General features: G+C 37.5%; 1 protein-coding gene and 1 long non-coding RNA gene across 2 annotated transcripts in view; both read left to right on the top strand.

The window, feature by feature from the left end:
* DOK6 (docking protein 6) overlaps positions 1–26,493 on the top strand; it is a 448,200-nt gene that overhangs the window by 67,858 nt on the left and 353,849 nt on the right. The window lies entirely within an intron of this gene.
* On the top strand, positions 1,186–2,991 carry LOC105372179 (uncharacterized). The gene is made up of 2 exons (NR_134579.1): positions 1,186–1,398; positions 2,858–2,991. It is a non-coding gene; the product is annotated as an uncharacterized LOC105372179 (long non-coding RNA).

The following is a 26,493-nucleotide window of genomic DNA, read 5'->3' on the forward strand; positions in this document are numbered from 1 at the left end:
TAGATTAGGTGTGGTAATAGTCATAGATTTGAAAAATTTATTGCGGCTGCATGCAAGATGGACTAGAGCAGAAAGAATTTAGAATATAAAGACACGAACTTGAATACTACTAGAGAGATAAAGCTCTGGATAAAAATGGAGATTTTTAAAAATAAAAGCAAAGGAGGAAACTGTGACACACTTCAGAGTAAGCCGCACCCGGATTTTCTGACTACTTGGATATTTGGGACAAAGGAGGTGTGCGAGGAATTACTTTTGAAAATGATATCCTCTCTATCTGATAGGTCAGGGGAGAGGATGAAGATGGTGCCACTGAAGGAACTGCGGGTTTGCTTAGAAAGTGAATGACTTTGATATTGCTGATAGTGACTTCAAAGTAACATAAAGAGGAAGAGTGACACGGAATGGCAACCAGCAATTGTGGGGCAAGGGCCCAAGGAGTCAGAACTAGAAATACAGATTTTTAAATATTTAGTGTGTGCTGAGTACTGATAATTTCATAAAATAAGGAGATTTTACCTTTTTTATTTATTACTAGTAATTATTAGATTTATACAAGTTTAAATAAGAATGCTTTTTATTCTCACCCTTCACTTAAATAATAAACTATATCAAATGCAAGACATTTTAACTTTGTGTGTTTGCTTCGCAGGATAGGGAAAGGTAATTTAAAAATTCATATAGATGATAATTACGGCTTTTTTTTTTTTGTGGTTTTTATTTGAAAACTCGTATGATCTATAACCTTCGCCGGGAGTGATCTGCCGCCACTAGGGCGCAGCAGATAGCTCAGGGGAGACTGACGTCATCTACTTACTCATCATCTGCCGGAAATCACAAACATCATGGTTCCCTGCGTGCTCATCTCAGGCTTGGTGCTGCTAGCCTACTTCCTGCCGGCTGCCTCACCAGAGCCTGGGCACTGCCGCCCCGGAGATACGCTGCTGTGGGGATGCCGTGAACTTCGTGGCCAAGAACATGAGAGGGCAGGACACGAGAGGCCAGGACGCCATCGGCGAGGTTGGACAGGAGCCAGAGGCGGATGGAGCGCGGCAGAGGCGCCCCCACTGTCTCCCGTGCCACTGGCTCCTGCAGCTGCCCCTTTAAGGACTGTTTGTGCCGACCCTTCCCCAGGAAGTGACGGCATCTGCTTCTGGGTCGCTCGGGTGCTCTTCAGCCTGGGCTCCAACCTTATCTCATCGTGGCCTACTTGAACCGAGTGTCCGATCTCCCCTACCCGCTGGGTATCCAGCCTTAGCGCGCACCGACTACAACTTCAACTTTCCACCCATCTCCAGGGGAAATTGATTTTGAAAAAGCAGGCTGCTGCCACCACAGCATTATGATCCTTTCCGGCTGCTGACCAATCTGTATTTTGTGAACTTCACAAGAGGAATGGTGTGTGCCCATTCCTTGGCGTGTGTAGGTCTGGCCCCAAGTCCAGGGGTCAGCAGGAGGGAAAACGGTTCAAGCAGGCTCTGAGGTGCTAGTCTTCCAGAAAGCAAGGACTGCCCTTCATTCACCCTTGCTGACCTCCCAGCTTTTCTCAGGCCCAGCCTCACGTGACTCTGGAAGCTGGGAGCTTCTGAGCTATCTTTGTTCATCTCATAGCCAAACAGGAGACCCCTTTGCAGGACTTGCACATAGGGAGGCTGGAGCCAGGAAACTGTCTCCTTTTCTGGCCTGGCCCTGCTGGAGTGGGTGGGAACCAAACACCTTCAGTGCCGGTGGCCCCCAGGCGCACCTGTTTAGAGCTGAGGATGCCCTGGCCCTCCCTCAGTCATTTATTCTAGGTCTTGTTGGTCCAGCACTGCCCATCCCACCCCAGGAGACTCACTCATTGCGGATCCCACCCCACCCTGCCCCTTTCTTCCCCACCCTGAAGACTCTCTGCTTAGTATCCAGGACTGTGAGAGAAAGCAATAACATAGGGCCTGAATGGTGGGGCGGGAGGGAATACATATATATGTATATAACACATATATGGCCTTCTCCAGAAAGTTGTGTGGAAAAGATGCTGGTAAACGAGCAGAAAACAAAGCGTAAGAAATTTTCATTCGCTCAACATGTGGTTGTTGACTTTGACTTAGGTGCTGGGGATAAAGCAGTCAGGTCCTGTTAAAGTTTTCATTTTAGAGGAGGGGGCTCAGAGTAAATACTTAACAGTAAACAAAAAATAGATGAAGATAAATGCTGTAGAAGGATTTTTTAAAGTGTGATGTAGCCGGGCACGGTGGCTTGTGCCTGTAATCCCAGCACTTTGGGAGTCCGAGGCAGGCGGATCACCTGAGGTCGGGAGTTTGAGACCAGCCTGACCAATATAGAGAAACCCTGACTCTACTAAAAATACAAAATTAGCCGGGCGTGGTGGCATATGCCTGTAATCCCAGCTACTCGGGAAGCTGGAGGCAGGAGAATCGCTTGAACCTGGGAGGCAGAGGTTGCGGTGAGCTGAGATCGCGCCATTGCACTCTAGCCTGGGCAACAAAAGCAAAACTCCATCTCAAAAAAAAAAAAAAAAAAAAAAAAAAAAAGGGGTGATTTCAGAGATGAAGGGCAGCGAGGAGGCTGCCTGCTGGCTCCAGGCGAGAAGCCACCGGTGGATCAGGAAAGTGCTTTCGGAGGTTAGGGAAACACTTGGTGCACTTGAGGAACAAAAATGAGGTGAATATGGTGGGTAGAATTGAACAGTATGTTTGGAAAGGTCAGTGGGAGACTTAACTGACTAGGGCTTTGTAAGCCGTGGCACGGTGCTTGGATTTTACCTGCAGTTCTCTGAGAAGACACTGGACAGTTTTAAGCAGGGATTTGTCCTTCTCTGATTTATGAGGGTTTTTTTGTTTTTTTTTTTTTGTAGAGAACACTGGCTGCTGTGTTACAACTGGGTGGGGGGTTGCACGGAGAAGAGAGAAAAGGATCAGGGAGACCATTTAAGATGCTCTGGTGATATTACAGCTGAAAGAGACGTCTAATCAATAAATATCGAATGAGCGAGTGAGTGAATTGCCATTTGCTTCAGGAAAACTGTCACTTGCTCTATTCAAATAGAGAATTGTTCTTGGTTGAGCCTGAAATATAGAGAAACTTTCAAATCACCTGATACAATTTGCCTCTACTCTCAATGATGAATTCTGTTTTGCCCTATTTTTTATTTCAAGTTTCAAGCAATCTGGTTTCTTATCCCCTAGCACAGTTACTTGCTTTACAGTGTTGGTTATGGAATAATTATAAGTAGTAGCATTACTGTTCTAGTTTACATTTATTTCCTCAGCAGGGACTGTGGTCAGGGCTTTACATGCATTATCTCTTATGATTTTCCCAAACAACTCTTTAGTTAGGTAACATAAATATTCCCATTTTACTTATGAGAAAACTGAGACATAACCTTACCTAGGAAATAGTTCCTCCGATTCTTATTTACGAAAAGCCAGAAAACTACTTAAAATACCTGTTTCACTTGAAGTTAAAGAGATATAATAAAAACAGGTGGGCCTACTAACGTATTCAGGCCAGATTCTGAGTGTGAGCGCCCGGGCAAGGTAAGGTGACTGCGCACACAATGAGGTTCCCTTTTTCCTTGCACTGTACCACTCTCCCGAGTGTCTTTATAATGAGAATACCCCCAGGGACCTGCAGACCTTAGAAGAAAAGGTGGCACATCATATTCTTGCCTTAGGGTCTCAGATTTCTGTGCTAAATCCACTACCTGGGCTCTGCTAGATTGCATGTGCCTTGGAATTGTTGTCTGTTCATTGTTGCAATAGACAAAAGGTGGCTTCCTCCTCCTGCCAGGTCTCTGGGCCCCACTCCTCCCTAGTGCTCACTGACGCCCACAGGAGAGGAAGTTCTCCAACTATTTCTAGAATCTTTTTATTTGCCTTTTTTCCCAATCCCTCATCAGGAGAATTGAAAACACACTCACATACACACAAGCACGCACACACATGCATACATACGTATACACATAAACATACACACATACACGCACAGATAGACACACACACACACACGGGATCTCATTATTTCTTTAAAGAAACATTTATTTTTTCTTTTCATTTGACCTCAGTCACAAACTCTGGTCTAGAGGCAGACAAGTTATCAATTCAAAAACTTTATAAGAAACAAAGAATTTCAAACATAGGTCATTCATATCATGTTGTTGTATGTTTCGTTCTTATCCATGTTGAAAAATCTCATACTATTTGAAACCTCTTCAAAGACAGTTGCTGGCATTAGCTTCCCTTGTTTCATAGCAGTGCTAATATGTAAGTTAGAGAGAAAAACATATTTTATGTTTAGCTCATATGATGAAATACAAATGTTACAAGTATCAACTTGGTTGGGAAAAAAATTAATATTTTTTTATTTTGCATAACTGATATAACCCTGCTTTCCAAAGATGAGAGAGAAGTTCATACTTGCTGTTTCATTATAAATAGGCTTGCCAAGTAAAATATAGGAATACTGTTAAATTTGAATGTCAGGTAAACAATGAGTAATTTTTGAAAATATGTCCAATGAATAATTTTTGAAAATATTGAAAAATACAAATAAAAGTTGTTTGCGTTTTTATTTGTTAAATATGGCAACCCTAATTTTTAAACAATTTTAAGTGAAAACTTAAATATCAAAAAGATGTTAAAAGGTCCCATCAGTTTATATGATCACAATGGTGATATCATGTTCCCTCATATTCCCCCAGTAGCTAGAGTGGTTCCTGTCGTGGTTGAGGCTTAGTGGTCCCTGTTAACTCAGACTCACCTGATTTCTTTCAGCCATTGAAGATCCCTACATATCAGCTGTATTTTCTGTCTGGAGTCTGTCTTGCACCCAGCACTGTCAGTCTATGCTCTGGGGACAACTAGACCCTCACCATAGTGGCTCGCTGGCAGACCAATCCCATGTCCTTGCTAGGTCATATGCAGGGATTTTTGAATCCCTTCAGTGTTACAATGTTGCTGAGGGAAAGAGACTCTAAACCACTATTTCATGTTCTTTCTCAACCAAATAATCTATGTAATGATTTTAAATGGCTTTGACCACATGTCTTGCTATGGAATCCACTGGAGGGAAACTGTCTCCTACGATTACAAATAGAAGCAGGATATGTTCCTTCTGTGCTGTCCCTCTTGCTTTTAGCTTCCTATCCACCCTATCTGGGTTTTTCTATCACAGCCCTATTGGAAGTGCACACCTTTCCCCCATGCACCCAAGCTTTTAGGACTCTGAAAATTCAAGAAGGTCAGCCTTCAGACTCAATGACACATTGGTTTCCTTCTGTTGAAGCCAAAAATCATGGAAAGAGGCTTCATTAAAGTAGAATTTTTAGGAAATGAAAATACATTGCAAAATATTTTTAAATCCCTCATATGTTAATATAGATTTTATTATATGTGTCCTTGGTGAGGGGGGGCCTTCTTTCCTTCTTTCCTCCCTCTCCTGTTCTCTCACACACTCTCTCTCTGGTTTTTGCTCTGTCTTCTTTCCTCTCCTTTCTTCTCCCTTCTTCTCCATCCCCCTTCCATTCTTCCTTTCTCTCTTTCATTTTCCTTTTTTACTTTCTTTCTTGAAATCGTATGTGAACAATTATAAAAGCAACATGGCCCCCTAAGTATTGGAGAAGCAGAAAAGCTTTGAAAGATTGAATGACTCTGATGCTGAATTTTTCAGTTATGAGGCAAACTCTTGCCTGATTTATTCTAATATCAATAAGAATTGTTCATTTTAGACTCATCAGAAAATATGTGCTTCGATCTTTAAAATAAAAATTTTACCTATAAGCAATTTGCATTTGACTTTTGATATGGTTTGTACATGGTTTAATGTATTCCAAAGGCCCATTCATTGAAAAATGTGTTGAAACTTCTTATAATGCCATTTTTCGATTTTGAACCAACTTATATAGCACTCCTTGGGGAACTGCCAGTGCCTTCTTTGGCAAGAAAATCTTTGGCTATAGGATAACTAAAATAGTTCAAAAGGTTTCCCAGTGCAAAATTTAACAATCAGTGTATTCAGAGCTAGAATAATTCTTGTCAAAACAAAAATGAATTCAGTTGTGTAATTCTTGTTAGCAAATGGATATAACCCCTTTAGAAATCCTGCAGCCTGTGATTTTAATTATCTATAGCAAAAACTTGCACTAAATTTAACAATGCAACAGAATGTAATGTTTTAAAAACAATGTATCCATTCTAGATACTTAAAAATGATTCATATTTAAAATTTATGTTCTTATATCACAAAAATATAGAACTTGAACCAAATAATTATTTCACTTCCAAGTTCCAGAAGGGTACATTTTGCATTGACTTTAACATATCAAGAAAAAAACTCACTAAATCACTCCTGAAGGGATGATGTAGCTAATAAATACCAGTTATATATTTTAGGAATTTAATCAACTGTAGCACAACAGAATAAGCATTTGTATAACATATTCCACCATATTGGAAAAAAGAAAATGTGGTTAGGTAGAGGAGAGTATTGGAATCTTACTTTCACAGAGTAAAGTTGGAAAAACAAAAGTATTGATCTTATCAGGAATAAGTAGTTTCCAAGGGCATGCAGTAACACTGAGTATTAGGATTGGACCCAGTGGAAATGCACTAATATTAATTACAAATTCCCACTTAGAATTTAGAAATGTTCCCCTAATGAGACTGAAAAAATCAAGAAATTTGACATTAGAAGTATGAAACAAAGAAAAAATAGGAAAACATTATCACAGAATTGGCAAATAGTTTAACTTTTGCAGAGAGAAATTCAGCATTTTCTGTGCTGCCAAACATTGCTGAACATACTTTCCTATGTGAATCCTCATTTAGATGGCCCCGCCTCTACCTTGAATTGTGTTCCTGGAAACAAGAAAGCTCTATTTTTACTGCCATCATCCCAAGCTATGTATCTTGAAAATTCATTGTTCACTTTATATCTTGTTCATAGATATCTTGAAAAGTCATCGTTCACTTTAGATACTATCAGCTCTTCTAGTAAACATGCAACAACTATTCCTACTTGCTTTCACTAGAAAAAAAAATTTCATTCTATTAGACACAAGTTAACTTTCCAGTTTTACTAAACACATATTAAACAATATGAGCCACTTATCATAGCTATTGAATGTTTATTTTTTATTATTTTATTGTTTTAACTTTTATTTTAGATTTAAGGGGTACATGTGTAAGTTTGTTACGTGGGTATACTGTGTGATGCTGAAGTTTGGAGTATGACTGGTCCCATCACCCAGTAAGCATAGTACCCAACCATTTTTCAGTCCTTGCCACTCTCCTTCCCACCCCTCTCACCTCCAATAGTCCCCAGCGTCTGCTGTTGCCGTCTTTATATCCATGAGGCCTGGGGGTGGTGGAGGTTCCACTTCCTTACAAGTGAGAACATGGGGTATTTGGTTTTCTGTTTCTGCGTTAATTCACTTGCTGCCCAACATTTTAAATGCACGTCTTCACAGGCAGTTTTTTTGTGAGTTTATCATATATTATTTTTCCCTAGGATATAAGAATAGGTTTTGTTTTCTGGGTATACAGATATATGTGAATTTTTTCTACATGAAGAATATACATAAGAGTAAAACATTTTCTAGGTATTCCTACGCTCTTTGTCTAATATTGAATGTAAGTACCTGAAAACTCAGGAATTTTGTTTTTGTTTTCTCAAGAGCGGAAGAGAAATCAGAGGGATTCTTGGAAGGCACGGGTAATCGTCACTTGATCAGTCAGAGTTCCCGGAGGAAATCGATGGCATTCTCAGAAGGAGGGATTAGAGAAGCCTTACTCTGGACAAGGCAGTTAATAGACAGGTTAGGGAAACCAAAAAGAAGAGAAAGCAGGAGGTGGCCTCTGCCACCCCCAGGTCCACAGGAGGAGGGAAGGGATTGGTGACCCTCATTGGAGTTGACCTTGAGAAAGGGGCCACCCATCAGGAACTGGGCTTGAGGAGAAGAGGTAGCAGGAAGCAGGTAGCAGGGCCGACTGCGGCCTGCAGAGAGGGCGTGAGAGAATAAGCAGCACTCCTCCTTGCTTCCTCCCATCTCTTGCTGGAACTTTCCTTTCTCAGAACCCAATTGGAAGCATGGAACATACTCATGCAATCCATGAAGACCAGCCTCCAGGACAGCAGGACAGAGAACAATGAGACTGAAGGAATCTAAAGGGGCCAGTGGAATTTATAGATCCCACGGTTATGTACACAGTAAAAGGTTGCTTGGATTAGTCAGGTGATATATGATTTGCCTGAAGTCTTAATTCTGTGAGTGCTGTGCACAACCCCATCACTGAATTTATTTATAAAATATGCTACTTGTAGCATAAAAATAGTATCATTTTTAAAGATAGATTTGGTATATGGATGACTGCGTATTGTTGTGTGCTTTATATGACAATCCCATGGTGACAATGCTGTTTGAAATATGTATTTGACGTTTGAAATAAACTTTAGAGCAACATTTATCTTTTGGGGGATCCTATCAGCCCACAAGTGTGGAAGCAGGTTTCGAGATCCGTTCTAAGCCCAAAGCATCAGTTCCACAGATGCTGAGACAAGTTTGTCCCATTGGAGGCTACAGTGGTAGTAGGGTGTACCTGGGAGCAAGTAGTCCTTAACTTTCATCAAGATCAAAAAGTGTATGTTTTAAATTTTTGATCAAATAAAGCTATGTCTCTAATTGTATTTCTTTGTTTGCCATAGCAATGGAAAACTTAAAGCAAGAGGGAGTCTAGCTGTACCATTCATTTTTTTCAACAGCTATGACTTGAGCTTCTATACCCCCCAAAAATATGAAGTCCTGAAGATGCAAACAAACAGTATTTATTCCTCCATTTCTTTATATTTGAATAGAAGCTAATGTATATTTAGTACAGGCTATTCTATGCATGTTTTAAAATTCAAAGATGACCCAATTCTTGTTTTTGGTTAGGTATACTGTGACTGTATAGAAATGTCAAAGAAAAATTTTTGAACATTGATAACTTTTAAAGTGATTTCCTGCATGATCAATATTCATTTATCAGTTTAACAGCCAAGAAGATAACCTTACATATTAGCATGAATTTGACCTTAAAATCAGGTTTTCGTATCCGTTATCTTCCTCCTACATTTGGTTTATTGAAACCTAACTGTGAAAAGAACACTACTGTAGTATTTGAGCCTTTAGCTTTGATCTCATTTAGGCCGAATCTGTCACAAAATTTTTCAGTGGTGAATGAAATTTAAAAAAGTATTATCGTTAACAAATGGTAAGGAAAACTTATATTGTCTTTCTTTTAAGATACAGAAAATTACACTAATATTACCTTAAATTGAGTGTTCAAGTATTAATGTTCATTGCATTGATAAACTAATCTGTACTTCACAAAATACTTAAATACGTGTGTGTTTATTCTATACTCCCATTAGCTCAGTGTGGTGGAAGAGAGAAGAGGCTTTCCGAATCACGCTATTTTGGGCACTAGACTTAATATTTCATGCATAGTTTAAAAATCAGATTAGCAGTCTTATTTTAGCATAGGGCATTTGCCTGTTAAATTATATCAGCCATCATTTATTCTAAGGAATTTTCTTGTACGTTGAACATAAATCCATGTTTTGGGGCTTGAATTTCTAATCTGACACCTATCTAATTTGGTTCTTCCTCCCCTCCCCTTCCTTCTCCTCCTTTTTCTCCTTTGTTTTATTTAAATCATTATTAGAAAGTAGTCACTTTAAACTTACTGTTTTATTTCCTAATCTAAAACAAATGGGAAAAAATAGTTAATGTTCTAGTTTCCTAACTACAACCTCCTCAGTCAATTTGATCATTTTCTTTGAGAAACAAATTCAATATATGCCATTGTAAGATTAGTGTTGTTTTCTGATTCTGATAGTACACATTTATTTCATGATTTTTTATTGGAATAAGTTTTAATTTACAGAAAATTCACCAAGATTATACAGAGAGTTTACTATTTATCCAATATCCTCTAAAGTTAACATCTTCCATTACCATGATACATTTATTAAAACTCAGAAACCAATATTGGTACATTACTGTTAACTAAACCCCACACTTTATTTGGATATCATGGGCTTTGCCACTGATGTTTTTTTCTCTGTACCAGGATCCAATTTATGATACAAAAATGCACTGAATAGTTCTTAAATTTAGTACAGGTTTTCAGTTATAGAAAAAGACCACCAGATTGTAGTATAGATTTCAATTAACATAAATTAAGACACAAATTAAGACATTTTCAGTATACATCCAATTTAGATATTTTGTCCGTTTCATTTTTGCTAAACTGTTTCTTGAGTGCTCAGCACACTGAAGGATGCTTGCATTGGGAGGTAAGGAAGCATGTAACTAAGAGATAAATGCATGTTGCCTGTTCTCGGGAACTAGTGGTTATTATAAACTAAAATAGAACAAACCAGGAAATAGGGTATTTGCCAGAGGGAGGAGAGGAATGGAGATATTAAGTTTGTAGTAAACAAGTTTAGTCCTGAAGGATTCCAGTGAAAAGTTGAAAATATGAGAATAAAAATCAAGGAAGGGTTCTTAGGTGACTCAGAGAGGATACAGTAACATGAGTTGGTATACAAGCTAGCAACATGTGATACATTTCATGGTATGGGCTAGAGTAAGGGAAGAATGTGATTCCCATACCTAGCCCTCAATATAAAAGGGATGTCGAGCCAGTTAATACATGAGATGAAATGTAGAAGCATGTTTTGCAGGGTTCTGGGATTACAGGAATACAACGTTTTCCTCAGCTTTTACTTTGCTGCAGATGTGCTTTCGGTAATATGGTCATCATAATACACTTTTATAGGATTAATTCTGAGCTCTTTGAAAGGAACCAATTCATTAATACAAGTTAATATTATGTAACTTAAAATATTCTTCTCCAAGTAATCATTAACTTTGGCAAATTTTCACACACAAAAAGAAATACTCCTTATCACCTGTGGTATCAGTTGGAATGGAATTATAATTTCTTACCATGAGCAGAAAAAAGGTATTTAACACTCTTAAGTTGAGATATAAAAATAATTGAGCAAATTGCTTAGAATTTTATAAAGGGCTTTGAATGAAGGATGCCACTAATATGATTAAACATTTCTTTTGCATCTGTTTAGTCTCTTGTGAGTGTGTGGTAGGGACCTGATTTTAACTTAATTATCAGAAGCATTAATAGATTTAGACACAAATCAAGAGGGAAAAAGTCAATTTCAAAACTTATTAGTAAATTGGCACACTCAAAACTCATTTATTTCTCCAGCTTCTAAACTAATGAGGTGTTACAGTCTATTTGTTGGCATATTAATAAAACTGAATGCCTTTTTATTAATCAAATATGCACTACTTGAAATGGTAAAATAAATACAAGTTAGTAGTAGTGATAATTCAAAATAAGTTTAACTTTAAGATGAATGATAAATTTTAGTTTTTAAAAAATATTTTATGGACTCTATCATTTTAAATATCCTTATTGGTATATAATTTAAAAGATTAAAGCTAATAAATGATACATGTGGGAAACTTCCTTTTTATTTCCCAAATGTCATCTAACTTTTGAGATGAAAAGTTTACCACTCATTTTGATATGATAAAATGAGTGTCAAAGATATGAATCTTGACTATAATATTGACAAGAACCAAACAGATTTTTATTTGCTAGTTACATATCTGTGACTAAATTAATCTATAGAAATGAGGTGTCTAATGTGTCTAAAATATTTCTAAAATATACCTAAAATATTTTAAGATCTTCTGAAATATTTCTGTAGTCTCTTCTGTAATTAATATTCTCTGAATTTACATAAAACTACCTACCCCTAGTGACACATCTAATCTCTTTGAATTAAGATCTATTTGTCAGTTGAACACAAGGATATTGTGTAATCCCTCTGCGTTCTGCTTTTTGAAGGCGTCTTGGTGTAGTGAGAAATGTCTTACACGTGTGGGGAAGGAGATATGGAGATATGACTTTGATGTGACTGAGGTCACAATACAGTGTGACGATTTTAAAATAGGCACAGAATTATAGGCTGAGGGACAATAATCCATGTATGTGATATTGGTTAGGACAGGTTTTACTTTTCGGGCAATGGAGATGGGTGGATGTCCCAAGTCAGAGAACTGTACATGAGAAAGGCTCTGGAGGACCCTGTGAAGAACTCACATACGGTCCTGAGATGACTGGATGGCCAGAGAAGCCCAATATATCTACCTCCAAAGTGAGAGTGAAGGAAAGAGATATTTGCCCTTCTCCCACATTCTATTTAAATTCAGTGCCAGAGGAGTAAAGCTTTGGTAGAGGATTGGGAGACCCAGCCAAAACCAGCACACACCTTCTGCCGTCAGGCACTTGGAAGAGAAGGACAGAAATGGCCAAGCCTTTTCTCGTTCACATCCCTTGAGGTTCATATCTGAGAGTGGAGAGGAGCTGAGATACCAAGTCACATGTGTGATGGGGATTTTTTTTATATTTTTTATTATTATACTTTAAGTTCTAGGGTACCTGTGCATGATGTGCAGGTTTGTTACATATATATACATGTGCCATGTTGGTGTGCTGTACTCATTAACTCATCATTTACATTACATATATCTCCTAATGCTATCCCTACCCCCTACCCCCACCCCACAACAGGCCCCAGTGTGTGATGTTCCCCTTCCTGTGTCCAAGTGTTCTCATTGTTCAATTCCCACCTATGAGTGAGAACATGCGGTGTTTGGTTTTTTGTCCTTGCGATAGTTTCTGTGAATGATGGTTTCCAGCTTCATCCGTGTCCCTACAAAGGACATGAACTCATCCTTTTTTATGGCTGCATAGTATACCATGGTGTATGTGTGCCACATTTTCTTAATCCAGTCTATCATTGTTGGACATTTGGGTTGGTTCCAAGTCTTTGCTATTGTGAATAGTGCCGCAATAAACATACGTGTGCATGTGTCTTTATAGCAGCGTGATTTATAATCCTTTGGGTATATACCCAGTAATGGGATGGCTGGGTCAAATGGCATTTCTAGCTCTAGATCCTTGAGGAATCGCCACACTGTCTTCCACAATGGTTGAACTAGTTTACACTCCCACCAACAGAGTAAAAGTGTTCCTATTTCTCCACATCCTCTCCAGCACCTGTTGTTTCCTGACTTTTTAATGATCACCATTCTAACTGGTGTGAGATGGTATCTCATTGTGGTTTTGATTTGCATTTCTCTGATGGCCAGTGATGATGAGCATCTTTTCATGTGTCTTTTGGCTGCATAAATGTCTTCTTTTGAGAAGTGTCTGTTCATATCCTTTGCCCAATTTTTGATGGGGTTGTTTGTTTTTTTCTTGTAAATTTGTTTGAGTTCATTTTAGATTCTGGGTATTAGCCCTTTGTCAGATGAGTAGATTGCAAAAATTTTCTCCCATTCTGTAGGTTGCCTGTTCACTCTGATGGTAGTTTCTTTTCCTGTGCAGAAGCTCTTTAGTTTAATTAGATCCCATTTGTCAATTTTGGCTTTTGTTGCCATTGCTTTTGGTGTTTTAGACATGAAGTCCTTGCCCATGCCTATGTCCTGAATGGTATTGCACGTGCACTGATGGGGATTTTAAACTGGGCTTGGCACGAGTCTTCCAAATGGAAAATTATCAGAAAACTAGAGAGGGGTTCATCCAAGTGTTATAAATAGAACGGGACTGACAATTTTCTTACAGCATATTTTGGGGAAAGAATTGAAGAAAAATTAACTTCATGTATGTTTGTATCCCATGGAATTTAGAACATTAAGTGTCCTCATGACATTATATGCTGGAAAAACAATTCTGTTCTAGGCTGAAGCTGCCCATTACCAAAGTGAGATTATATAGTAAAATTGGAAATGACAAAACAAATTAATATTTCATGCAGCATAAATATGATCCATTTTAGAGGTTTTAGTTTGTGTATCTTATGTATATCTCTGCTATGCATCCTTATGTATATCTCTGCTAGCTAGGAGCTTCTGTTATAAAAATTATTCTATAAAATAAGAAACTATATGAAAAAGGATGAAATAAAAAAAGTGATATAAGAAATATGAGTTCTGTAATTTAAAAGAACCTCTGCAGTAATTTACTAAATGCTGTTCTTTTAAAAATTATTTATTATTCTTTTTATTTTTTTAACTTTTAAGTTCAAGGGTACAAATGCAGGTTTGCTACACAGGTAAACTTGTGTCATGGGGGTTTGCGGTACACAGATTATTTCATAACCCAGGTATTAAGCCTAGTAGCCATTAGGTATATTTTCTGATACTCTCCCTCCTCCTGCCCTCCACCCTCCGACAGGCCCCAGTGTGTATTGTACTCTATGTGTTCATGTTTTCTCATCATTTAGCTCCCACTTATAAGTGAGAAAATTTACTGTTTTGTTTCCTGTTCCTGTGTTAGTTTGCCAAGGGTAATGGCCTCCAGATCCACCCATATCCCTGCATGAACCTATATCTAGAAAACCCCCATAGTCTCAGCCCAAAAGCTTCTTAAGCTAATAAACTTCAGCAAAGTCTCAGGATACAAAAAATCAATGTGCACAAATTACTAGTATTCCTATACACCAACAACAGTCAAGCTGAGAGCCAAATCAGGAATGAACTCTCATTCACAATTGCCATAAAAGGAGTAATTGCTGTTCTTTAATGATACAGTGATGTTATTAGATGAAAGAGTTTTGAGGCCCCATCTATCTTAGAAGACTCATTCTCTTGACTCTCTTGAAAGCTGTTTCAGCCTCTTTGGAAGGAATGAGCATCTATCTTTCCATAGCATTGGGACAGACTACGAAGTACTCAGTTGTCTGCTGATTTCCTCTCTAGTCTTTGCTTTTCTTGGCTGCTGCTTTCTTCTGATCCCTTGTAACACTAGAGTCCTTGTAACTCCATTCTGCTCAGTGAACTGCAGGTGCCATTCAAAACTCAAGAAAGTGTTCCCTCCAGATTGTGATAGTAAGTTTGCAGGATAGACTTGCTTAATTACAACAGTGCCTTAGCAGGCATGCAGGCTTTCCTCATGCTTGCCTAAACGAAATTTAGAAACGGAAAGGGTTAGAGATGCATTAGTCTTTGCGGTTTTCTCATACTGGTTGTGGCATCTCCGCTGTTAATTGCTTTCCTTTAGTGATTAATATAATTTTTCCATCCATTAATCTATATGCCAAACTGGGTTTGTTCGTTTGAATAACTTAAATATCTACATATTTTTATTTTTTAAATTAGCAAAGATGTTTAACAGTTTAACAATGAATCCTAATGTTTTATTTATCTGTTGTGTCAGAAAGCAAGAAGTTGAGGGATCCTGCTCTTAGTGGATATCATTGTGACCCTAATATATATTGAATTATTGTTCACTTAATTTATAAATCCTAAGTCCTGAGCCTTTCCATAAAAAAAATAATTAAATGTTCAATAGGTCTCTAAAATCCGAGACTGGCTGAAATGTTATTCTTATAAAGCATTTTGATTAACTGGTTTCTATGTAATACGTATATGTCTTTAAAAGACTCAATGCTTTCTTTGCTTTAAGTAACTAAGATACTTATTTTATAGAAGGAATCCAAATAAATGTTTCAGCTTCGTATGCCTGCATAGAGATACTCAGTTGATTTATTTTTGCTGATGGGAACAAAGCCTAAATTTAGAAGCTATCTTTCTTTTATATCACTGTCCTAAAATACTTTCAGACGTTTTCGAGTTTTGTATTTTGTATTTGTTCAATGAATCAAATAACTAATATGGCAAAATCTAGAAGGGTTTTAAGCTTTGTCATCAAGTAATACTGAACCATTGCTCCTAGAGGAAATACAGGGTTGGGTTCTCAGAGCCTCAGGTCACAACATTTTTACCCATGGATCAATACAGAAACTTGTTTTGAGTGTGTTTCTATTGAAAAACATCTTATGTAATACATATTCTTGATTCATTAACATTGAACTCACGGCCAGCAGCACTGTAACTCATGCCTGAGCTAAGCTTATCTCATCATATTTTCTCCTTAAGGTGCACCACAGCCTTCTCCTGCTTAGGAGTCCTGGACAGCACTTCAGCACTGTGCTTAGAAGTTATTTAAATGGTGACATCGCCAACAAAAAGTGCAAAAATGTGGAAATCATGACTAATAAATAGAACTCTGGAAAAGACACTTGTTTATAGTTAAGAGAGCTGGAACAGGAAGGAAGAGCGTCACCTGCTGGGCTTCAGCTGGGAAACTTGTGTGTTGGGTGACTCAGATTTCTCCCTTTCTCTTTCTGAGAAAGTGCAGTGAATATTGATTGGGGGGTTACAAATGCATTGTAACGAGTAGGAGAATTTGCAAATACAGAGTCCACTAATAGTGAGGGTCACTTGTCTCTTCACAGTAGATCGTTTGCACATCCCTTTGGGATTTGGTTTGGGATTTGTGGAATCAACTGTTCAACAGATGATGCAACAGCAATGCTCCTGGATTCCCAGTGGTTCCATGGTGAGCAAGGGCAGCAAGTGAGAGGGCATGCTGAAAGCCTTGCTAGAAATTTGTCGTGATTTTAGATGTGTTGGATCTATTAGTGCTTTCTATATCATATATATGTATTTTTCTTAGAAATATATTTTAATGTGCTTTATGAAGTCTCTTAACAGATAGGAGATTAAAAAAGAAGAAAAGGTCCTTTACCCCAGACCATCAAAGGCATTGCCTCATTCAGTTGGCCATTTCACTCTGTCCCGTGGATGCAGAATAAAGGCAAGAGGGCATAGGATATCCTGCAGTTGAATCCCCTAATTGTTCACTGATCCCAAGTCTGTGCTTGAGAAGTGAAGGCTTAATCCTTTTTTGTGCCATTTTGTTCTAAGATCCTTCAGAGGAGTGAAGGGTAAACATTCAAACATTCAACTCGGTTTGAGAAGAGATGATGTGTTTATGTCTAAGGGATTCTAGAATGCAATACAAATTGGTAGGAAATTTTGAGAGAATGTTTTCTAGGAAGAATTTTAACACAGACATATCCTGTCCATTCTAGTAAGAAGAAAATTTAGTCAAATCATTCTGAATAGAATTTTCTGTCTCATTGCAGACTTCAGACATTTAAGGCTCATATATGTATGTGTGTATATATCCATATATATAGTATACGTATATATGTGTGTGTGTGTGTGTGTGTGTGTATATGTATATCTCCCAGTATCCCCTAAAACTAAGCTTTTTTATTAATATATGTTTCATTTATTGAAATATACCTGATCTTCCTATAAGTATTATTTACTCATTCTCTTTTGGTCTATAAATGCCACTTCTTGGATGAATAACACATATGAAGCAGGGAAAATAGGATATTTCATAGGTAAAAAGGTTTCAGTTCCTTTTTTAATATATAATGTAACATTATTATACTCATTATTATTATAAGTAATAATGTCTACATTCTTCTTTTGCAGAGTATAGACATTTCTTGTTCCTTTATTGATATCTTTAAACATTAGCTTTACTAAGAACATATTTATAATTAAGAGTAAATTAACACATATAAACTGATCAAGCTGTTGAAAAAATTATACATGTTTAGTTTTTGTTTAATCTGAAGGTACTTTAGAAAACGTTAGGAGAAACAGTTTTAAAATTCATGAAAAGTCTTAGTAAGAATGATAATGGGACAATTAAGACAGTAGTGTGGGTTTTTGTTTTCTATTTTTTAGTTTTTCCTATTTCTCCTGTGTGAGGTGATGTTCACAGAAGTTCACTATTTCAACCTAGACAATAAATCTGCCATCCAGAATGGAGATCTAAAATGTATTCTGGAAACTTACATTGTGTACTTTCTCAAACTTGAAATTTAGTGCTTTTGATCAAATTGTAATGCCAGTGGCTGAACCCACATTTTGTTGAAGGTTTTATTTTATTCAAATCTATCAAGTGAAACTTTACACAGAGAAGTCTGGAAATACTAATTTTTCACTCAACAAATGTGGTGGTTATGTCTCTCTGGGCTAGTTTTTTATTCAATGAAGGAATTTTTATTGGTAAATCTTAAACCTACCACAGCATACTTTTCTTTTTAACTAACAATGTTAAGGAAATTTACTTTAAAAATAGCATTGGTTTCATTTTAAAGTTTACATTTCTATGAGTGTTTGCTATGGAAATACCATCTGCGGTTTATATACACCTATTTTCCTGTTTGACATTTTATATTTTTCTTCATCCTTATTTTTCACCCCCTTTCTTTCTTCTTTCTGTTGTATGTTAATGATGATCTACTTTCTGCTCCACTTTAGGGTTGTAAGTTTCCCAACCCTGCCTTTCCTGTCAGGGCCTGTTGGGATAGAAAGAGGGGAAAGGAGGAGAGTGAATGGAAGATGCACCTGTACGGTGTCAGTTGCTGTCTTTATCTCTGATTCAATAATTTCTGTCTACAATTAGCCTTGGCACTGATAGGATATGTGTGTGTGTGTGTGTGTGTGTGTGTGTGTGTGTGTGTGTGTGTCTGTCTGTGTGTGTGTGTGTGTTGGGGGGTATCAGCCCTCACTTTTCAATGTCCTGTTACAGTCTTTCAAATTACCTATTTTTCACCTTTTTCTATTTTATAAATCCAGTGGTCATAAATTAGGGATCAAAGACTGAAAAGGGGCATTTCTAGATTTGAGGAGGTCACTAAGATCACAGGCTTCATTGAGGACAACTGGGGCAAAATCTGCCCCCAGTGTGTGAGGAGCTGGAAGGAATCTGATCTCTGGTTTACTTTTTCCAGGTTTATACTTTGATGTGAGTGGATTATCCTTTTATTATTTTCATTAATATGAGATAACCAAAAGTTCCTTTTTTAAACTTTTAGTGCTGACTTTAGATGTTTACCCCTTTGCTGAGGAATGTTCCATCGATGTTTATAGAAGTTATGCAAGGCAATTTCTGGAGAGAGTCAGGAAAGAGGCCCTGAGAAGCAGGTAACAGGTTATTTCATCAGCTGGAAAGCTTTGGACTCTGGATCTCCAATTCTAGAGCGGGAGATCTTAGCCCCTCCACATTTTGAAGATCTCTGCCCTGCCTGACATCTTTCAGAGTTTCAGGGAGCATCTTGCTTTCGCTTTTGACCTCTGCTTCCCACTCATCTGGGTTACTCCCCAAATGCTTTCACAAAAACTCTTTCTGGTGTAGGCACAGTCTAGGTTCTCTGAGGGTCCCAAACAGCCTTGATGTTCCACTCACATCGAGCCCACATGTCTTAGTCTTCTCAGAACCATGGTAAAATGCCATGGACTGGGCAGCTTAAACAACAGAAATTTCTTTCTCACAGTAATGGGAGGTAGACTGTCCAAGATCAAGGTGCTGGCCAGGTAGGTTTCCTTCTCTAGCCTTGTCCCTTGGCTTGTACATGACCACAATCTCATAGTGTGTTTCTATGACCTCTTCTTGTGCTCAAGGGGAGAGAAAGGGGGTGGGCTGTCTTGTGTCTCTTCTTAGAAGGGCACTAATCCCATAATGAAGGCCCCAACCTCATGACCTCATCTAACCCTAATTGCTTCTTAAAGACCCAGTCTCCAGATACCATTACATTGGGAACTGAGGTTTCAACATATGAAACTGGTCGAGTGGGACACAAACGTTCAGTCTTAACACTGGGTCTCCCTCCCTCTGTTTGGGCTGCTACCCACCATCAATGCTTCCTGCTCCCCACTGGTGCCACCAGCTCATTAGGCCATAGTGCTGCTGCCTCAACGTTCTTGTCATGTGTTTTAGTCCGTTTTAGTACTGCTATGAAGAAATACCCAAGACTGGGTAATTTATAAAGAAAAAGAGGGCCAATGGACTCACAGTTCCACATGGCTGAGGAGGCCTCACAATCATGGGGGGAGGTGAAGGAGGAGCAAAGTCCTGTCTTACATGGCAGCAGGCAATAGAGCAGTGCAGGGGAACTGCCCTTTATAAAACCATCAGATCCTGTACGACTTATTCACTATCAGAAGAACAGCAAGGGAAAAACCTGCCTCCATGATTCAATTACCTCCTACCGGGTCCCTCCCACAACATGTGGGGATTGTGGAAACTACAATTCAAGATGAGATCTGGGTGGGGACACAGCCATACCATATCATCATGATTCACTTATGTTATTCTCTTTGTGTCACTTCCTTTTATGTGAATGTCACTGCTACCTGTACTACTACAGCCAGAACTCCTGTTTATTGATCTGTGACCATATTAACAGAGAAATAGGCTCAGGTTTCTGATTGGCTCAGCTCTTATTGATGGAGTCCATAGGGTTCACAGAGCTGTAGCTTAAGTTTTATACACATAGAACTTTTCTACTAAATGGAAGATAGGTGGGTGCATTGAGAGAGTTTCCATAAAGAACCACGGCTGAACTCAGAAACACAAGTTCACTAGTTAGATTGTTTCTAAAAGGATCACAGCATATTTGGTGATTTGGCCATAGGTTGATGCCCCACCCACCTTGTCCAGCTTAAATACTTGCATAGTTCTGAATCCCAACTTTTCAAAATCTCTTCCAGAAAACTTTTCAGACTCTGAAGAAATTGTCAGTACAAATACTAAAGGTTCATCAGCTCTTTTTGTACTTGCTCACATAGGGATAAACAGTCCACTTCCAAGTACTGAAGGTCCATCATCTTCCTACCAGTGATGGACCATGGGCCAGGGCAGGGAGGGTAAGCCCGTTTCCATAGTGCTGTGTACTTGCAGTGATTTCAAATTAATAGCTTGAAATCAGCCATAGTGGGGAAGTGTGTACACCATGGAAATTGACGGTACTACAAATCTAAGCTTTTTTGAGGGGAAGGGGTCCAAAATACCAGTATTGTCACCATGATCGATTATAGGTTACCTCAGAAATTTGCCTGGCTTCCCCATTCACATTGGCATTACTATTTTACTTCATTTAGAGTCCTGTTTCTTTTGTTAATTACAGAATAAAATTTACATTTGTAGGTTTTTCCTTATCCTTCTCTTTCTAATGCATATCGAAAGCCCTGTTCAGATTTTCATGAATTTTGTAATTTTGGCCATACACGATTTGGTATGTCTTAGGTTGATATTTTATTAGCTGACACAAGTTAATATTTCTTTAGAAGGTGATGGAAGAAAACAGCAGTATTTTTTCCAATATATTTCCTCTAAAATACATTAGGAAGAACAGTTTTGAAGTGGTGAATAGTTTTTGGAGACAAAAATTCTAAAAAAAAAAAAAAACCCTATCTTTACATAAATACAGTTTTAGACAAATTCTGCCGTATTCACTGCAACATTGTAGGCTGCCATGTCATAGTTTTACATATTCAGAAGACATGCCAATTGTTCATAAGCTGAGATTGCTTGAGAATCAGATTTTGCAAAAGAATTGTCCTGATATATTTTCTATTTTAAGAGTTTAAGAATGTCTGAAGAAAACAAAAAAAAAGCAAAACAAACTTCTTGCTGTAATGGGTGAATGCTCTGTTTGCATTGATTCTGACTTCTTCTCAGTGGTGAAACGCCAGACCTCACAAGGATATCATTAGACAGCAGTCACAGCTCATGCCACCATCAGGAGGAACTCTAGTCCACATTGTTTTAACTGGCAAACTCAATTCCTCACAAAGGCCAGAAGCAGTTTGGCTAAATTTGAATTGTTATATAAATATATGTTGGATAGGATACTCAAAATTTAGAAAGAAAAAACTTTAACACTGGACTGTGGAAAGCTGAAGATAATAATTATGAAAAAATGTTTCAAGTTAAGAAGGGGTTTTAATAAATTTGTAAAATGGCATGCCTTTTAGGGAAATTTGATTCATTAATATATGCCTGTTAGCATATACTTAAGCTAGAAAATACTTTTTTATTACGTAATACAAACTATTCACTTAAAAAAATCTTAAGATCAAAGACAAAAGTTATGACCATCTACATACTAATATAATAATTTCCCAAGTATTTGAATTACCTCCATTATGTGCAACTAAAACAAGCAAAAAATATAAATATAAATATAACTGATTCTATTTAGTTTTGTTTCTTTTAATTGAATAAAAACATTTTGAGATCAATGTAATAAAATTGTGAAGTGTTTTTATTTAAAGCCTTGTATTGGGTTTTATATCCAACTTTAGCAAATTTGACCTGCTAATTTCCAAGTGGGTTGAATTTTGCGTATGGGTGATATGTGTGTGCTTATTTCTGTCATGAATTTTACAAGAATGACTCATGTCTCATTGTGAATGCCCTCAGAAGGCCGCAGTCCCTGAGCATTTGCTGCCGGCAGCGGAGGAGCAGATGGAGTTAATTAACATTAACCAATGGCATGGTATATATACTAAACATTCAGTAAGTGTTATCTACATTATCTGCAATGGCATGGTATATACTAAACATTCAGTAAGTGTTATCTACATTATCTACAATGGCATGGTTTATACTAAACATTCAGTAAGTGTTATCTATTAATAGTAATAATAAACACAATGAAAGGAAAATAGTTTAAATTAACCAACCAATGTTATCAGTGCAGAACATCTATGGAGTTTGCTTAGATGATTAATAAATACTTTCACTGTCTTATCTAGAGGAAATGTGTAATTTTTGCACTTTTCCATCTCGATTGGCTAAAGTGCCCTTCACAGCAGAAAGCTAACTATTGAAGAATGATATTGCCTGTCATTTTCTGATATAATAAATACATGTTTGTGTATATAATAAAATAGTTTCTTTTATGCATCATTGTATTCCTTCTAGCGAACATAGTTCTAGGCATTGAAATAATGTTTTCTAAAAAATCAGTAGAAGTACTTATGGCTAAATTTGAGATTCTGAAATGTTGTCTCGTCACATTTGTATTATATGTCCTATGTATGATATGAGTCTCATCATAAATTTGCAAAATGTTTAGGTTGTTAGCAGTGCGTTTCCTAAGGAAGAAACAAGAATCTGTGCTGAATATTAATTCCAGGCATGACTGAGGGTTTTCCAAATTGCAGTAGTCATTTAGCAGGCTGTTATTTGACACAAGACTATGGCCTTGGAGATTGTTTATTGTATCTGCTGATTTGGAATTTGTTTAGAATAGGTTGCCCAGGAATGTTTCTGAACATGCTGTCTATAAATATATAAATCATCTTTTTTCTTAACTATGCTATCTAAATATATAAATCAACTTTTTTGCCAACTGGCTAGACATTACCGCTGAGTAAATGGCAATCAATGTGCAGAGAACCAAAAGAATATTAAATATGAGTATTTCCAATAGAGAACTCAGATAGTTTTATTATGGCTATATCTGTTACAAAGTGTTCATTCCCAAATCTGTCTCTTTGCAAAGCTAATTGTATGCCAGCAGCAGATAGAAAACTGAAGAAATGAGTAGTGTGAATCGACAATTCTAATTGTTATCTTATTTGCAGATAAACAACGCATGTAAAAAGACTAATGTACTGTATTGACTTATTGAAAATATACGATAGGAACCATAAAAATCACAATACTATTTATATGAAAACAAAGTGTCACACAATTAATTTTAAATTTATGGATATCATACACAATGTAAAATAATGTGAGATGTCACCTTCTTAGACAGCAAAGAACAATATTGCTTCTGCAGAGACTGTACAATCTGTATCTGCAAGCTCCAATTCTAATAAACCCCTTATTTCTTTTAAAAATTTATTTTATTTTATCTTATTTTATTTTATTTTATTATTTTTCTAACTTTCACTTTAGGTTCAGGGCATAGATGTGCAGGTTTGTTATATGAGTAAATTGCCTGTCACGGGAGTTTGATGTACAGATTACTTTGTCATTCAGATAATAAGCATAGTACCCGATAGGTAGTTTTTCAATCCTCACCCTCCATCCTCAACATAGGCCCTGATGTCCATTGTTCCCTGTTTTGTGTCCATGTGTAATCGATCTTTAGCTCCAACTGAGAACATGCAGAATTTTGTTTTCTGTTCATGAATTAATTCACTTAGACTAATGACCTCCAACTGCATTCATGTTGCTGCAAAGGACATGGTTTCATTCTTTTTCTATGGCTGCATAATATTCCATGGTGTATATGTACCAAATTTTCTTTACCCAGTCCACCATTGGTGGGCTTTTTTATAGCTTTGGATTTTTAAGGATGGTGTAAGAAATACTCAAAAGGAACGTTTTCTTTTCTTGAGTATTTAGCTTCAAACCCAGCTCTGTCATTTACTACCTGTGCTTTTTCCTTTTCAAATGAGAATAGTAATACTACCTGCCTTATATTTAAGAATCTTAAATGAAAATATAAACTTATTGTCACAGCAAATGCCCTCAAAATATTAGCTATCACATCTATATAAACATCATGATGATGTCATTGTATGACAGTCACCAACAATATTAAGATCTTTCCAGAACCTCCCAGGTGAAGTTTATAATCTCTCTATATCAACATAGAAGCACAATATTCATATTCATCTTTGAGTAGCACTTTAAAAGATTATAAAATATTTTAAAAGACATTACCTTATTTAATCCCTTTTGTAAACTTACACGTTTGGCATGGCTAATTGTATATTTTTTTCTAAGAAGTAAGGGAGGTTCAAACAGGCAGTAAACACAGCCTGTCCAACAATGCACCATGTTTAGTGGCCAAGACATGGACATCCATGCATTACAACAGTCATTCTCATAGTGTGGTCCCCAGAAAAAGAGCACTAGCATTGCCTGAAAACTTGTTAGAAATTCAGATATTCAGCCTCAACCAGATCTGCTAAATCACAAACTCTGGGAGTGGAACACCATAATCTGATTTTTTAGCCACTCTAGGGGATATTAATACATGCTAAAATTTGAGAATCATTGCACTAGACAAGGCAACTAAGGATAATATCTGAAATATGAGCAACACTCAATAATTATCATTTTTTTCAAAATCATAGAGATACATATATGAAATTAGTATGCCCATCTTTTAGAAATCAGCTATATATAAGAATTTTGATATCTCCTAAATTGGTGAATATATTTACAAATAATAGAAAATTACAAGCAACAAATAGGAAATAAATTTTTGTGGCTTTTTTCATGCCACACCCACAATGGTTTTATTTTATTTTATTCCAGCTTTATGGAGCAATCATTGACAAACAACACTGTATATATTTAAGATGTACAATGTGATGATATAATATGCATATACATTGTGAAATGATTACCATAATCAAGCAAATTAACACATAATCATGCATTCAGATAGCAATTTTATTCACACAGGCCACTTTACTTCAAAGGAGAGTAACCTGGGGTCTGTTTCAGGAATGTTAAAGTTCTACATACAATGACTGAAGCCTAAAATCTAAATGAGATATTTTGTCTTCTAATATCAACAAATTTGGCAAATATAAAAGTATTTTTTGTCTTGCACAATTTTCAGATTAGTGCTTCTTTCTTAACTGCAAGTTAAACCCACTTAAGATTTTTAAAGAAGATTTGGTAGGCCAGGCTTGGTGGCTCATGCCTGTAATCCTAGAACTTTGGGAGGCCAAGGTGAGCAGATCATCTGAGGTCAGGAGTTTGAGACCAGTCTGGCCAACATGGTGAAACTCCATCTCTACTAAAAATACAAAAATTAGCCAGGTGTGATAGCACACACCTGTAATCCCAGCTATTTGGCAGGCTGAGGCACAAGAATTGCTTGAACCCAGGAGACAGAGGTTGCAGTGAGCCAAAATCAAGCCACTACACTCCAGCCTGGGTGATAGAGTGAGATTCTGTCTCAAAAAACAAACAAACAAAAAAAAAGTTTTACTACATAATAGCTTATGTTTTTGAACAATTACTGTCTATAGTTAGGCACAAGGGAGAATAGGGCATTTTATTTTCTGGAATTACTGACAAATTATTTCTTCAAATTCTTCCCTTCTATGATTTCTTCTTGATCGTGTTGTCTTATCTTCCTGTACTCATTAATTAAATGACTTGGTTAAATATATTGGTATGGGGCAATGTATAATCACAGTCTTATTACCTTCTCATTTTTCTCAAAAACTTAAATGATATAATTACCCTTATCTTCTTACATAGCTATTGATGCATTTATTTTTTAATCATACTGTTGCAGGATCCTTGGGGTGACGCATTTCTGGACAGAAACCTCTGTGGCCAGTGGCACCTTTGTGTGAGTTTTGCTTGGGCCCAATGGGCTCATTGCACCCACTTAGCTTGGCAGGCTCTACTCGGCTCACACTACTGGCCTGGATCCCACACCTGCCAAGTGCGAGCCAGGTGTGGAGCAGCAAGGGGTGTGTGAGGGAGCAAGCATTGGGTCCAGCAACTGCACAGTCACGCATGCTGGCTGACACAGCAGGATGGGCACCTCCAGGTGCTGGAACAGGTGCCTGCTCTCTGCAAGGCTGTGGCTGGACCAGGTTCACCACAGGCAGCTTCAACAGCTGCCCCCAGGGAACGCAGTGGAAGCCTGGGGACTCCAGGAAATGCAAAGCCCCAAAGAGGGAGTCACAGTCTTGGCTTGGGGAGCTCC

This window comes from Homo sapiens, chromosome 18 (assembly GCF_000001405.40).
Source record: "Homo sapiens chromosome 18, GRCh38.p14 Primary Assembly".
In the NCBI taxonomy this organism is placed as follows: domain Eukaryota; kingdom Metazoa; phylum Chordata; class Mammalia; order Primates; family Hominidae; genus Homo; species Homo sapiens.